Raw genomic sequence first — 16,709 nt, 5'->3', positions numbered from 1 at the left:
AATTAACTATCCCCAAAGCCTGAAGCAGTTATTCTCCCGAGAAGGCCACAATAGGATCTGCAATTGCTGTTTCATAAGTGGAATAACACAGCACAATCTGCCTAGCTGATTAGGGGCGACTCTGGTCCTGCACCTCATGTGTCCTGAAGTCAGGGCTCAGCTTCTGACAAAATCTCCCTCTGTCTCGTTTCATTGTTCTTGTCTTGTTCCTTCACCTGTTCTTAAAATGCCATTCTCAAGTCCTAGTTTAGTTCGATTGCCTTCTTCAATTCTCTTCCTTCCCTCCCTGTCTTCTTTTATGCACAAAAATACCTATTAATCATGTACTGGGGACCAGGCACTGTGCCAGTCTGGCAATATAAAAGGGAGTAAAACGAGATGAGCTTCCTGTCTTAACCTCCTGAAATCGACAGACTAGGAAAGAGAAGACATTGGTTACATAATCACACAAGCAGATGTTCAAGGCTACTGTTGGTGGTGCTGAAATGTAGCAATCTCTTGACAGTTTAGTGAGCTCATGACCAGAGGATCTGTCTTATGCAAAGGTCAGAGAAGGCTTCCCTGATAAAGGAAGGTCATCCAAGGTAAAATCTGTGGGATGAGGAGGAGTTAGCTAAGAGGAGGGAGGAGGACCAGGTATCTAGGTGGAGGGCATATCCCATACAAGGAATGATTGTAACAAGAAGAGAATAAAAGAAGGGTGATGTGGTGAGAGAGGTTTGGAGAGCCAGTCCAGGTAGGGTCTTTAAGCTGTGTGTGCCTTTCCCCATAATTTAAAGTGGAAAGCCATTAATTTGATTTAAACGAAGGGTTGCAGGACTATATCTATGTTTTAAAGAGTCATTTTGGGAGAGTCCGGAGACTTGTGATGGGTGGATGGGGAGGATGATTCACTAGTTATTAAGCTAATGCAAACTATGCTACTTGGGGGAGAATGGAGAGAAACAGACAGATTCAAAAGTTGCAATTGACCCTCATTTCTGCAGTTCTCTATTTGCAAATTTGCCTATTTGATAACATTTATTTGTAACACCAAAATTCGTACTCACAATGCTTTCATAATCATTCTCAGATGTGCAAAGAGTAGCAAAAAATTTCGGTCGCCAGGCATAAACATTTCCCACAGAGACTGAACTGGGGCAGTCTGTCTTCTTGTTTCAGCACTCATAAGGTAAGCAAATGTGATTTTTGTGGTCTATTTAGCACCATATTTGTCAAATTTGTGTGCTTTTTGTTAGTGATTTTGGTGCTTAAAATGGCCCAAAGCATAGTGCAAAAGGGCTGTCTAGCATCCCTAAGCACAAGAAGGCTGCAGTGAGCTTTCTGGAGAAAATACACACAAAATGAGCTTCATTCAGGCATGAGTTCTAATGCTGCTGGGCGTGAGTTACATATTAATGACTCAATAATACACATTTAAAAAGAGGTCTTTAAATATAAACATACATAAAACAAAGATATTTATTGACTGGTTGGTGAAGATGTTGTGACCAGAGACTCACAGGAACCTAACCTTGTATTTCCTCTAGGGACAATTGTTCTGTATTTGCTAATTTAGGGTTCATGGCAACTTAATTAAACATAACAGCCATAAATAATGAGAATCAATTGTGTTTAGAATTAAAAGCAATTAGATTTTGCAAGGAATTTGCTCTCGGTGATGAAAAAGAAAACTGTAAAGAATATTTTACTTGTCTAGATTTGGCAATACATGAATATGGTAAAATTCAGTGCCAGAAAATAAAAAAGACACAATGTCATATTAATTTATCCACTCCAAAATTCTAGAGAAAATCAACACTGTGCCACTAAGACTTTTATAAACAATCTCATATCAAATGACTGCTCCCAAGTTTTCAGGCTAGTCTTACATGGTCAACTCCTAGCACATGCTTTGTATAATTTGTTTTTTACCTGTTTGCTATTTTATTCTATGTTGTTTTCTTCAGGTAATGCAAAGGATATCTGAACAACTACTATGAATAAGAAATAAAATCTATGTATTAAGTAGGAAATAACATAGAAAATGTATTTTGTGAGAGTTTAAGGCTTATTAAAATTTAATTTAAAAACAAGGATCAATGAAATAATGTGTGCAAAATGTTTAGTATGTAAGGGACGAAAGACCATAAGTGCATAAAATATATTCTGCATGAAGTTATTGGCATTCTTACAATTTCTACGATTAATTAAATGCATCATTTTACTTATAATACCTAGAAAGAGGAAATAGTCTATAAAATGTAGTTGATTTTTTTCATTTTCTTTAAATATTATAATACTAGTTAATATAGAAAAATAATATTCTTCACGTTTTGTTAATTGCATTGTTAAAAAGACTTCTCCATTTCGGCAGATTTTTAGTTATTCTCTTTCTTAATTGTATACTTTTTAGTAAAGATTACACATTACTTTTTAATAATAAAAAAGCACCGTGGTTCTTTTTTGGTACTATATATTATTTTTAAGAATAGTTCAGAACTTTAATCAGTATTTTTCAAAAGAAAAGAATTGCAAGATATGCTTACTCATTCTGTTGTGATTGCTACACCTATTTATAATTGAAAATAGATTTACGTCACGGTTATAGTTTAGAAATTGGAATTTAAAAACAATTAAGAACTTTGTTTTTCTATTTCTATGATAACAAAGTTGATTTTCATTAGTTATTGCTTTGTTATGTTGTTACATTGTTGCATTATATTTTAAATGATATAATCTCTATACAATATTCATGTATTTTCTCAGTGAAGAATAATACTGATATTTTAAAATTCTAATTATATCCACTTGTATATAAAATGCTAAGATATAGCTTGCGCATAATTGGATTTTAATAAATATTAATTTGATAAATAAATAGTTATACTAGAATCACACATTTCTGGGTTCTCAGCATTGTGTATTTCTGGGGTCTCATAATTTTACATTTTTCTCTATTTTTTTTCACAAGCTAACATATTTAAAAAAATTTGTGGAATACTATCTTGACCCAAAATCATAACAATGAGAATTCCAGGATCAATAATATAAGTTACTATTTATAAACACATACATGAGTACCTAAAGAAACTAATACAGTTCTTAAAATTGTTACCTCTGGGGATCAAGACAGGATGGAGAATGGCAAAAAAATTCTTATATTTAACTCTAAGCCCTTTGGTACTATTTATTAATTTAATGATAGTGCATAACTTTAATCAATATTTTTAAAAAGAAAATAAAACATACATTTAAGAAGGACAAGAAAATTAATAAACAGCAATGAGAGTCTGGGAAAGTCTTGATCATAAGAAAGTCTTGATTCTCTGCTTCCCGCTGCCTGCCTCCCTTTTCAGATTTTAATAATCTGAAATAAACAAATCAATCAAAGTATCTCAGTTACCTACCTCAAGACTTGTATCTATGAGTTGTAATTAGAAGAATCCTTCATAGATGGATTGCTTTCATTTATAACCAATATATAAAATCTTACTACCCACCTTCATTTCATACAGGACCTTTAGAGTGTCAGTAGGTGATTTTAATATTATTTTACTTATATTTGGAACTCACTGGTAGGTGGTAAGCAAGGGAGAAATAAACCTAATTTATGCTATAAAAATCTCTCTGCTTCCTGGACAGATAGTCAACTTCATTAGGCTGTACGCAGGAACAGAAAAGTTAGGATTTTGCAGTAATATAGGTCACAAGTGATGATAGCTTTGGCCAATGTTTGAGCTGGAAAGATGAAAACAATGGTTAGAATAAGGCTCTGTTTGAAGGTAGAACTAACCAAAATTGCAACGTATTGGATGCAGGTTATGAGATAAAGAGAGGAATAGTGCAGAGTTTTATTATTTTTGTTCTATATTTGAAATGCTTATTTTGCATACAAGAGAATATTTCGATGAGGCAGTTGTATATGCAAAAAATAAAATTCTACAGACTTTCAGAGTTCAGACTTTCAGATTTTCTCCCCATAATGGGCCATCTAAAGTATATAGAGATAGAGGGGTATATTTGTATGAAGCCTGCATCTATACATAGATGGTGCCCACAGCCATCTGACTGAACTCAGCTCGGTTACTTCAGGCACCTGTAAAAACGGTCAATAAATTTTGACTTTTGTTTAGGAATTTTGAAGGCTGATGTGAATGGAATACTATCTAGTTGTTTTAAGATTCAAGAGTCATATCCATATTTTCAGTCCCTGCAATTTAACTTCTTAAGGCTAATGAGTGCAGTCTGTACCTCCTCAGTCTCCAATTGCCTTTTATTGGAAGAAACCTGTCAGGATGTGCCCCTCCTTTTACCCAGAGGTAACCGTGGGCAATGAAAGAGCTTACATTAAGTTCCTCCAAGTTTGAGGTCTTGTAAATATCAGACCTCAGTTACAGAACAGACCTGGGTATATTTACTCACGTGAACTGTGTTCCCCACCACTAAGTTCTTGATAAAACAAAGACATTTCATTAATTTTAAATGCAGTAAAATTATAATAACATACTTTTTTCCCCCTCAAATGAGCCTTTAATGCTTTGGTTTCAAATATGCCAGATTTTTTACTTTATTCTGTCATGCCTGGACTTACTGTCCAGAATATAATTACTTTCTCAATTTTTTAGAGGTTACTTTTTACATTTGAAAAGAGTTTACAGTTTTATTGCAACTTCGTACAAATGCCATTTGTTTCAAAATTCTAACAGTTATTAATTTGCTTATCAATACCATAGATATCACAGATACGTCAATTATTTAATTGATTAATGTTAATTTTTGTTGATAATTAACCAGGTGTTAAATTGAATGTTTCTTTTATAAAGTTCGATTTTAAAAAACATTCTGAACATGAATTCTCATCTTCTACCTGCAAACCTGTTCAAGCCCTAGGGTAAAAGCAATTGTCCCCATGGGTCTTAACTCTGTCTTTGAGGAAAGGCAGCCTCACAGGGATTACAAGGAGAGTTGTGAGTGCTGCAGCTAATGTGAGAGATGGCCAATGCTTTGGAGCCTTTGGAGGGTTTGAGCAACTTATGCAAGGACAAGACAAATTCATTACTTGGCAAATCCTTTATCTCAGATAACAGATACTAATCTGTTCCTAGTACTGCCATTTTCTCACTTCTCTTCTTGTTCCAAGTTGTGGATTTATAGGAATTCAGGAGTTAGGTCGTTATTCACAACACTTGTACACAGGGATGAACAATTTGTGGTTTTATTAAGTTTATATAAATATTACAGTTAAGTTGCTACCAATTCCTGACTTTGACAATTTTGACAACCAAATAAACCATTAAATACTAGAATAATATGCTTCTAATTTTTAGAATTATTAACTAAAATAGAACTAAATTTCTGAAATAATAATAAATGTAGCTTTAAATGTTTATATTCATTGATTTAAAATATTTATGCTTATAAATAATTGTGAATATTTAAAGATAAAGAGTTTGCAAAATATACTTATTTTACTTTTTTATTATTTCATTTGTTTTTATTTTTACGAAAATATGTTATTGTTTTGTGCACTTTTTGCATTTCATTTGATTCTGCCAATTATTTTTATCAAATTAAATAAAAATCTTAATAATAGAATTAGTAATATTCCTGAAGTAGAAGCACAAAATAAATCATATTGAGTAAGTATTAATAATTTTTATATCCACATCTCTATTTTCCTTCTCATCCAAACACTGCTAGGTTATCAACAGAAACCCCAGATATGAGAAAATATAGCAAAATTCAGATGTGATGGCTTTACTTATTTTTTTTTTTTTCAGTTTTGTTGTCATAAGAATGTATTTGTCAAGGGAGGAGGGCAAACCGTAATTGACTTTGTGGTGTGCTGGTCTCATGTATCCCCTTTAGATATTGACATGTAGAGTGGAATGTGGGCCTCTCTGTCCTCTCGCCTGAGGAAATGGCAGTGGCAGGCCTGCCTGAGACATTTTCCCTTGTCACTGCTTCAGCCTCCTCCTGCTGTACTTCAGCTAATCCCATCCTAGTTTCATGCGGGTTGTTTTCTTTTCAATCCATCTCATTCTGTTGCCCTGTTTTCTTTCCTCTGCCCCTACCTTGTTGTTTCATTCTTCGCTGCTCCTTCCTCTCAGTAGTCTTCATCAAAAATTAAAGTACATTAAAATGTGAACTTTAAATACACATCGGTTGACCATGGCTTATCACATATTTTTTTTTCTGTAACCCCTGAGAAAAATTAAACCTTCTAAGGTGGCACATACCAGGTGTATTTTCATTTCAAACTGTGACTAAGTATCCACCATTTGACAAAACCAAAGTAAGCCATCAGTTGGCATGTGTGACTTTCATGTGGCTTAGGAGCCTGTAAGATGATACTAGAGGATGAGATGAAATGACCTGCTGGCTCCTGAAATGCGATCCTTTCAACACGAGAGGCCAACAATCCCATCGAGAAGGCAGATGCGTCTCTTGAGACCAATCTCCTGAAGGTTCCGCAGATCAGTTTCTAAATAAAAGATTAAAAAACTTGTTCCAGTGCTTCTCCATGTGAGCCCTACTACAGAGGCTGAGAAGTAGCTAGTGTGTTGGATATATTAAATCCAATGTAACATTCAAATCATGTGGAGAACTGTGCTGGTCATACAATTCTGTAAATGATTTGGGATTAATAAACCTAGTCATAGCCTGGTCACAAGTTTTTGAGTCCCTGTAAGGCCAAAATCTAAGGTCCGGTATTGACTGATGAGTTAAGTTGTACTGTTCTGTAAGACTACATGTATTTTTCCACTGAGGCACCTTAGTATCCTGGGGGAGCTTACTTGAGGATGACTCAGTTGTTTCTTCTCTCTATAAATACAAAGAACAGTGCATTTTTTAAAAGTGTCTGCAAACTAAAGCATGGATTATAGATCATTGAATTGGATTTATCAGTTCTGAGAGAGTGTGATATAATTGAAAGCATGTGGTTGTAAGGCCTGGGTTTACTATTTACTAGTCATGAAGCTTTGGGTGCAATGTTTTAACCCTATGAATCTTTATTTCTTTACCAGTTAAACAGAAATAATAATAAATATTTGCCCAGGTTTATTTACAAGGCTTGGTGTGTGTAGAAATAAATTAAAACATAAAATCATTACATAAATGTCACTAACATGCTAACTCAATGTGACTAATATATTCTTTAGCACAAATGCTAAAATTCAGAGTGAATTTCCATAGAACAATTTCTGTCAGTCACATATATTAGGATAAAATAACCTAGAACTTAAAGTATAGTTAAAAAAAAATAACCACTACCTTTGTCCCTTTAATGTCTAATTTGGCTCCTAGGAGATAGAAAGTACTCAATATCTGCTATAAAAACAGTCTTAGATAGCAGTCAAATATCCCAAAGTCCAAAATCATACATCATTAAAATTGCTTGAGACTCATTCATTACAATTTAAGTATAGAGTATATGCCAAACATTTAACAAGTTGCTTAAGGGACAAAGAAAAATAATCAAAATTTACAAATAACATTTGCAAGGGCTGGAAGTGAAATATTCTAGGAACACATAAGTTGGATTTTTCCTCAGATTTTTGAGAAGATGGAGGGTCAGGAATGGCTTCTTGAAAGACATCACGACTCTTCTCAGTGTTGATGTGCAATGTTTGACATATGTCATGTGAGATGGATGGGCTGAGACAGCTTTGTAGTAGGCCAGTGTGTACGAGGACCAGAAGGAAGAAAGAGGTAGATCTGAGGTAATTCAGAGTGTAGTGTGCATTGCTGCTTAAAAGGAATATCCAACATTAACATTAGTGAGATGCGTATTCACACACACACACACACACACACCCCTATACCCTACTGATTCTGTTTCTGTGAAGAATCTATCTGAATATAGCTGAAAATAGTTTTTTTAGAGAGATATCTGTGCTAGATAAGGGTTCAGGAGGCAGGAGGATTACTTGGGGACAGGTGTTTGAGACCAGCTTGGGCAATATACTGAGACCTCATTAAAAAAAAAAAAAAGCCAGGTGTGGTGGTGTGCAATTGTAATTTCAGCTAATTAGAAGGCTGAGGTGAGAGGATCACTTGACCCCAGGAATTTGAGGCTGCAGTGAGCCATGATCACACTTACTGCACTCCAGCCTGGGCAACGTATACAGACCCTGTCTCTAAAAGAAAAAACAAAAAGACACGGGAGATTGCTGAAGCCGGGCAGGTGGATGAGATAACCCAGGAAGACTCTGGGTTTAAAGAAGAAGGAAGGCCTAGGAATCCTGTGAAACTCCAAGATTTATGCACAAGTAGACAAAACGGTGTTAGGCAGTAAAGGAAAGGTAGGGGGAAAAAAAAAAGCTATTTTTGCAGCTCTATTCCAATATGGAAATTCTGTCTCTTTGATTATGTTCTAGTCCTACATTTTTGTCTTACCAAAAATGCTAGACATTTATTCTAAACTTAAGATTGTCTATTTATGTCCATAATATAACTGGAGGTTAGGAATGGTCCCAGCTAAAATTATTCAACATGAATTTTCTTATAAATTATAATTTAAGAAAAACAATCAACTCAAGGTATATACGTTTAAAGGGAATAATTGCTTTAGGTGATACAATATTATATTAAAGATTGATTCACATGCACCCATATGCTGCTGAGGAAACAATGTATTAAAATTGCTTCTGAAATTGCAATATGATTATTTTACATAGCACGACCTCAGGTTGTAAAGGAAGGAAAAAGATAACATCTGTGCTAAATAATCATTTCCATAAACCATCTAGTGAGTGCCAAAATGCTTATATGGCAAAGTGAGAAATCAAAGTTATTTACTGTCTTGCTAATTCTTTGTGATGCACGCATCTTCCTCTCAGCTCCACATAATATTTTCTTCGGTGTTTTGTCAGTTCTTTCAGTTCCAGATTGAAGGTTGTCAGTTCCTAAATCCCCTCATAACTCAAACTGTACTAATTCAGTAACCATATATAAGCTTTTGGCTTCAAATACAGAAAACCTGAGTGGAATGGTCTTACTTTTATTCTAAGCTTTATTACCTTTTATAACAAGAAACCTGGACGGAGACGATTCCAGAGTTGGCTAATTCAGTCTCCATGGCAGCATCAAGAACAAAAGCTCTTCCCTCAGCATCCTTCTCACATGTTGGCAAGGTCCTTAGCAATTAGAAAGAGGTATTTAAAGCAGGTCTCTTTATCAGGTAGTAAAGGTAGCCTCACAGTTCTGGGCGTCACAAGAAGAAAGATCCATCTTCCTTCATGTTCACTTTATTAACTGTGTGGGATCGTCTTCAGAAGATCCCAGGAGAATTCTCTTATAGCCCGCTGATCAGAGTTGTGTGATATGCCCGTTCCTAAACGAATTACATACATTGACAGAGTTGGCTGAGATATACCAGTATTTGCCCTTTCCAGGTAGAGACAGAGCCAGGAAATACGCCCGAACCCTAACACTTCAACGGCGCAGGGGCAAAATGAGAAGAATGCGTTTTTAATTAGAAGCTACATTATTAGCCATCTCTTTTTTTTTTCTTTTTCTGCATGTAGACTGGAGCAGTTCAAATCTTTCATTTCCTAACCTTAAATGTTTCTGAGATTAAATCAAATTCAAGTCAAATTTTGCTCTATTGGTCACTAAATCTCTTCAAATTATTTCTTTCAGCTGCACATTTCTAAATATGATATTCACTTGACTTAGAGTCTGATGGATCTTACACTTCAAATTTCCTGAAGATGTTCACATTTTTGGACAACAGCACATTTTTAGGACACTGTTTACTGCGTGAATTAGTTCATTCAGATCACTTTTTCAGCAAAAAAGGAAGATGTAGGGTTAGTAGAATATGTCCACTCTATACTAAGTATTTGTATTTTGAATGGACAGAATTTGTCAAACGGGAAAAAGTGAAGTCATTATGAAATAGACTATTTAATGCTTGTCTGAAAAGGTTTGTTTTGCTATTACCTTAATGATGAGTCCATAGTGAATGACAACGAGTACATTTTTAAACATAATTTTGCTTCTTAATAAAGAGGTTCTTACTAAAGGGGTTTTTAAATTTTAGTTATAGTTCCATATTCATTTTTAAAAAGATGCATTGCATGACAGAGTGAAAATATTATACTCTTAATATAATAAATAGGACCTTTTTGTCCTCTCTCATTTGGACATGTCATGGAATTTTGCTAGTACTGCTATTAAGTGTGAATATGTCTCCTAGACACTTATTCATAGAATAACTGCTAGGTTATAAATTGGTAGCCATTAAAGGATGCAAAGTTCTATGAAAACATTCTAGAAATACTGTTTCATTTGAGAGAAACAATAATAATATGAAGCCATCTTTCTTAGTTTGACAAATGCAGTTTGGTTTCTTCAATATTTCTTTTTTTTTTTTTTTTTTTTTTTTTTTTTGAGACGGATTCTCGCTCTGTCCCCCAGGCTGGAGTGCAGTGGTGCGATCTCGGCTCACTGCAAACTCCACCTCCCGGGTTCATGCCATTCTCCTGCCTCAGCCTCCCGAGTAGCTGAGACTACAGGCGCCCGCCACCACGCCCGGCTAAGTTTTTTGTATTTTATTAGAGACGGGGGTTTCACCGTGTTAGCCAGGATGGTCTCGATCTCCTGACCTCCTGATCCGCCCGCCTCGGCCTCCCAAAGTGCTGGGATTACAAGCGTGAGCCACCGCGCCCAGCCGGTTTCTTCAGTATTTCTACTCTCAACAACCATGTCCCTGAAGTACAGTCACATGGAACCTCACTCTGAGAAGTGCAGATTCTGCCATAAGTCAGTGGTTTCCTATGTTCTGCATACATGGAAAGTACATGGCTCTTCACACTACCAAAAATACCATGTCCCTGTCACCCCAACTGCAGAAGCACATTCATGCCCCCTAAACCCACAGCTGAAATTTCCTCCCTCTTTCTCCATCTCTTCCCCTACAGCACAGACACCAAGCCACCTTATCTATAAATAATTCCCGGACTCCACTCCTCACGGTGGTGTTCTGGGATACCATTCCCTGCATGTTCACATCAATTTATTCGGGCTGAAAATGCTCCATATTAAATCTAATTTTTCCACCCTCTGACCAAAAACACTTTTCCTTCCAAATCTTTCAATTATGACCATATTAACCCTTAAACATCTTAAAAACTTCAGTCTCTTGATGATTCTACATTTTTATGAAATATCTAAACACTTCCTGTCTTTATTTCTTCCCATATATATCAAATATTTTATTATCCCTCACTTGAAACAGCTTTAGTTTCTCTCTAGAACTCGATCTTGAGAAAAATACCATCTCTGAATCAAACCAATTGTTCAGCTTCTTTTTTGCTTATACTTTAGATACTAATTTTCTGTGAAAAATCATGTATTAATATATTATTAATTTCTCCTCTCTAATTCTAAGCGAGGCCCCAAGAAAACACTGAATGCTCTCCCTCCTCTCCTGGCCAAGATAGTAAATTAGAAATGACATCACTTCCTGGGGAAAATGGTGAATATAAGCTCATGTTAAAGATCTAAAAAATGCATGGATGATGATGTCTACCATGTCTCCATTTAATTTTCCTCTCTGGCTCCTGAACAACCTGATGGATGCTGGAGAGTGACAGTGGAATGGCTAGAGCTCAACCAAGAGGTCCTTGATTTGACAAATGAGTTACTTTCCATCCTAATCAAGAAAGAGGATCTGAAAAATGTCTCATTTGTATGGAACAAAAAACAATCCATGCTTAATATAATGCCTTAACACTATGTTAGCACCTTTTATAGTCTGAAAAGATCTGGACGACATGAACACCATTGCAGAACACCAAGTACTGATTATATGATGCCAATCAGGCAAGATGTGTATGAGTTGGCACGTATGATGGAAGCCTTGCTAAAAAATATGTTTTGTAGAGCCTGGAAAGTAAAAATTTTCTAGATCCCAAGGTCAGGGGCATGCAAGGACATTGCCATTAAAGGTAAAGATGGATTGTTGTATTTTTAATCTACTTCCACATAGAAGAAAAGACTGTATTACTTCTAGGGTCCTAGAAGCAATTAAGTCAACATCTAAGAATGCTGGTTAAGATGATAAGCCAGGTGAAATTCGAAGTCTGATTGTCCTGAGCAGGTTCCTGAGGAAAAAAAAGGGGTGGCTTTATGACCTGCTTCATGGGCTGTATGATCTACAGACTCTATGGTAATGAATGTGACAATGTTGAACAAAAATGCAGTCTGGAGTTTGTGGCAAGTCTGAAGAGGAGAACCTCAATGTAGACGCTAGTTTTCTGGAGCAAGGCTAAGCAACCTACAGCAGAAAACTACATGATTTTGGAAAAAAAAAGTATGCTACTGAAACTTAGTAAAGACTGGACACTCAGCCATGGATACCAAGTGACCAGGCATCCAGAAAAGCTTATCCTGAGCAATTCTGGCACTGCAGCCTTCTCTGGCCATGCAGGTAACAAAGATGGTAGGCATAGCGGCAGTTTATTTGCAAGATAGAAATGGAACATCTAGAATTAAGTGGGCCGAGAGGACATACACAAATGCATGAGATGATAGCCTAGACCTTCATTTCTCCCATCTGTTTTGACCAGTACCTTACCTTGAAATCATACCTGTCATCATAAGGGATGTTTCTATACCAACTGAAGAAGGAGGGAAAATCCAGCCTCACATAATGGAAAGGTTGAGTTGGTGTAACGTAAACTCAGAAAATGGATGGCAAATGCATTTCAGCTACATTTATGGAAGAACTTGAAATACAGTAGCAAGGAAAAAAATTCTCAGTGCACAATGTTGTGGACAGTGTACTTGCTCATCATAGGGAATGAAAAGAAACCGTAGGTTAGGGTATGTATTGATTCATGAGAATTGACCAGTGGTCTCTCTGGCTGATAGGTGCCAAAAAGGAAAAAGGCTGGAAGATATAAGTCAAAATTACATGAGTTAAAGGCATGTGAAAGAATATATGCATTGAGAGGAAGTGTGAAAAACATTGTATCTCATGTTAAGACCTCTAAGAAAGCATGTGGCATGAAAGTGGCAACAAATAACCAGATAGACAAAGTGACTTATCCAGTTGATGTTAATCAGCTTTTGTTCACAGCCACCCCAGTGCTGGCATAAGGGGCACATACACAAAGTGGCCACAGGGGTAGATATAAGAGTTCTGCATGGGCTCAACCACATGGGCTCCCACATATGAAGGCTGATCTAGCTACTACTGCTTCTTTACATCCAACGTGCCAGCAGCAGAGACCAACACACTATTGCATGGGGAGATCTGGGCCACTGGGTAACAAATCAACTCCACTGGGTTCCTTCATGTCTGGAATAAACAGAAATTTGTTCTCATAGGAATTGACATCTGTTCTGGGTATGGGATCCCCTTTTCAGTCCACAGGACCTCAGCCACTGTTCAGAAGATTGTAGAATGCCTGATCCATAGTCATGACATCACATACAACAGATCATGTTTTCGTTTGCTATTTATACACAAAATAACTCTAGGCATGAGATACACTGGTTACATCGCCTGTACACCATGATAGAGATTGGAATGACCTGCTGAAGGTAGCACTAAAACATTCAGTCAGAGGCAATATCCTATGATGGGGACACCATTCTCCAACATGCATTAGATCAAAGTAATTTTTATGCAGGTATATTCCCACTAAGAAGAGTAGCTGGGCCTGAGAACCATGGAATAGAAGCAAAAGTGGCCCTACTTACAAGCACTTTGATTTGTCCTTGTTACTTTAGCTGTGAGCTCTGTAGTGTTGGAGATACTATCCCCAGATTGCAGGAGGTGATTCTGTCTCTGAGTAATAGAGCAAAGTTTTCATTGAAGTATACCTACAGATGTTACCTGGGAATGTTGACACCTGGTGTCTAGGTGCCAGTGGGCAAGAAGAGGAGTCATGATCTTGTCAGTGGCAATTGACCATGGTCAGCAGGAGAAGGTTTGGTTGCTATTAGATAGTGTAGATGGATAAAAATATGTACGAAACTCAGGGAACCCTCTTGAATAGACTCAGATGTTTTAGGAATGAGGTATTGGGTTGCACCATAATGTAAGCCACCTGGATTAAGAGGGTTGATATCTTTGAGCAAAGGAAATTTAGAATGAATAGTAGAGGGGGAGATCAATGAGAAATAGTTATGTCCCTAAGAGCAAAGTGAATACCTCCCTCTTTCAAGTCCCATTCTTCTAGCAGGAAGAAAGGCTCATCATGGCCCTGGAGGAGTTGCTCCCCAAATTCTACAGGGAAGTGGATAAAATACCCCAAGGAAAGGAGTGTGGAATCCATGTATGTTCACTACTTATATTCCCCCTCCCCCAAAAAAGACTTTGCCCCACTTTGAGGAGCATGGGTAGCTGTTTCCTTCTTTAAGGTTTTTCTCAGCTTTCTAGTCAAGGCTACACTCATCTCAGGGCAGACTTTAGTCAACATCTGAGCAAGGTGAGAATACAAGGTTCTAGCTATTTCCACCTCATGCATATTTTCTCTCTGAATCAGAGCTCCCTCCTGGTCTATCATACTTTGTTATGTCTGCACACCTGCTGTTGTCTTGCTGACTGTCCTTTCCAATCTTTCTCCCTTTCTTTTTCTTTTCCAGGTGTTACACCACAGTGAACTTTTAGTGCTGGCTTCCGTCTCAGCATCTGCTTCCCAGAGAAATCAATGAGAATGATCTCTTATCCTATCAAGGATCATTTTACCTCCTTCTCACCAAATGTTACAGTAAGTAAGGCTGCATGATAAACCACCCCCAAAACTTCGTGGCTTAGAATAACAATATTTATTTTGCTCATGAATATGTAGTTAGGGCAAAGATTTGATGGTGACAGCTCATTTTTACTCCACTCTGTGTAAGGTGATGTGGATTGAAGGCCAATGAACAGAATTATCTGAAGGTTTGCTTACCTATCTGGTGCCTGGTCTGAAAAGACTTGAATATCTGAGAGCTGGATCGTGGCTCCTTGGAAATCTCTCTCTTTCCAGTACCTGCCATGGACACTGAGCTTCAATTATGCTGTAATTTTACACAGAAGCTTAGGTCTCCAAATGTGCACGTGTTGAGAGAGAGAGAGAGAGAGAGAAAGGGAGAGGGAGACAGCTGTTGTGTTGCTTTTTATGACCTAGCCTCTTACATCACAGTATCACTTCTGCTGTTCTCACAAGTCCATGTAGTTCAAGGAAAAGGAACAGGACCCTGTGTCTCAATAGAGAAAAGTCAACAACTCTTTCAAAGAACAGCATATGCTATGGGATACATTATCATGGCCATCTTTGGGAAATATATCAGTTTCACCAAAGAAAAAAAATTTCCTCGTATTCTTTTTATTAAAATAGTCAGCTATACCTATATTCTTATGATACTTCTTTCCTGTAATGAGAGGAATAGAAAATGTGCACCTCCTCCCACCTAAGACCAGCTCCCTGTGTTCCAGGTCTTATGTTTTCTTACCTTCTTGGTAGTTCTTTCTCTATAATTTATCTCTTTTTATACCTAGCCCCTCTCTCTTGAAATAATTCTTTCTAATATAATCATACCTTACACATTTTTTATAATCACATTTTTCCATTTTCAAACCAAAACAAAAATCACTCACAAAAAAATCTCTATTAGGACCCTAGATCTCCCTCAACCTTTCTAACTTCTTTCTAACTCTTTACAACCAAATATTTCCAAAGTGTTGTCTACACTAACAATATATTCACATGCCTTCCATGTACTACTCAAATTATTACCTTTTCAGGATTCTCATTGCACCATTCTCATTAAATCTTCTTTAAAAAAATTAACACAACTTTTATGAAGCCATTGTCAACATCTTTTTCAAATAATCAAATTTGTCTTGTCGGGCTTTTGATACTTTTGGCTTTTTCTTTAAGGAATTTCTTTTTTCTGGTCCCTTTCTGGCTTTTCTCTTTGCTCTGTGACCACTTGTTCATGTGCCTTCCCTCTTTCTCTGTTTTAAATGACAATTTTCATCATGTTTCTTTCTCTTTCCCCCAGTGGAACTAATAGAGTTTGTTGTTCTGGATGAATTTTCAATTTTCACATAAAAAAGACAGTAGAATGGTGGTTCTCGTGTTTTTTCCTCTAGTCCATTTCTTCTTTTCAATTTAGAGTCTTCCTCAATGATTACAAATAATATTATGTTTTCACTTGCTGTTCATAAGCTGAAGGAATCCACGATCTGTATCCCCAGCCCAGATCCCTACTGAGCTATGTTTTCCAAAAAGCCTTCTTTTTGTCCCATTGCAACATTGTCTAACCCTAATATTGCACTGATCAAACTCAGTAATTAACAGTGGGTGGGTTTCTCCTTACCTGTCTATATGATGTTCTAAGGCAGCCTTGGATAATTCCCATTTTTTGTTTTTGACTGCATTAAACATACATGTTCTGGATGAGTATCCCAACCTCCACCCTGAAACAGCTTATTAAATCAAAGGCAGACATCTCAATCAAGTCTTTGTCATAGGGTTTGACTCAAAAGATGAACTGTACCAATCAAATTCTAGTTCAGGATTTTTTTTACTAAAGTCACACAAAAAGAAGGTTCCATATTCACAATAACAATATTTATTTATTAACTAAAAGAATTAGTGCTTTAAGAGCCATGGAATTCAATGATTTATAGGTATATTTAAGCTTTCTTTCAATTCCCCAAATTAGTTTTTGATGTCCCAAGATAGTTGAAATGCACTTATATTTCTGGCCAGTTACCA

General features: G+C 36.6%; 2 long non-coding RNA genes across 6 annotated transcripts in view; one reads left to right on the top strand and one right to left on the bottom strand.

Moving 5' to 3' along the window:
• The first annotated feature begins 387 nt into the window (after positions 1–387).
• LOC107984606 (uncharacterized) overlaps positions 388–16,709 on the top strand; it is an 84,462-nt gene continuing 68,140 nt past the window's right edge. For 2 of the 4 annotated variants that reach the window (XR_007063859.1, XR_001749993.2), the window contains exons 1-3: positions 388–584; positions 1,073–1,171; positions 14,587–14,711. This is a non-coding gene — a long non-coding RNA (uncharacterized LOC107984606). The remainder of the gene's footprint in view (positions 585–1,072; positions 1,172–14,586; positions 14,712–16,709) is intronic. The other 2 variants (XR_001749995.2, XR_001749994.2) reach the window with 1 other exon arrangement.
• Positions 1,239–14,981, bottom strand: LOC107984607 (uncharacterized). 2 transcript variants are annotated; one of them, XR_007063861.1, is made up of 3 exons: positions 14,895–14,981; positions 9,006–9,122; positions 1,239–6,807 (listed from the first exon to the last, which is right to left on the bottom strand). It is a non-coding gene; the product is annotated as an uncharacterized LOC107984607 (long non-coding RNA). The 2 variants fall into 2 exon arrangements; XR_007063860.1 differs by having other exon boundaries at positions 6,386–6,466.

Source organism: Homo sapiens, chromosome 13, assembly GCF_000001405.40.
Source record: "Homo sapiens chromosome 13, GRCh38.p14 Primary Assembly".
Lineage (NCBI taxonomy): Eukaryota > Metazoa > Chordata > Mammalia > Primates > Hominidae > Homo > Homo sapiens.
The sequence above is the reverse complement of the archived record's forward strand: the minus strand, read 5'-3'. Positions and strand labels throughout refer to the sequence as shown.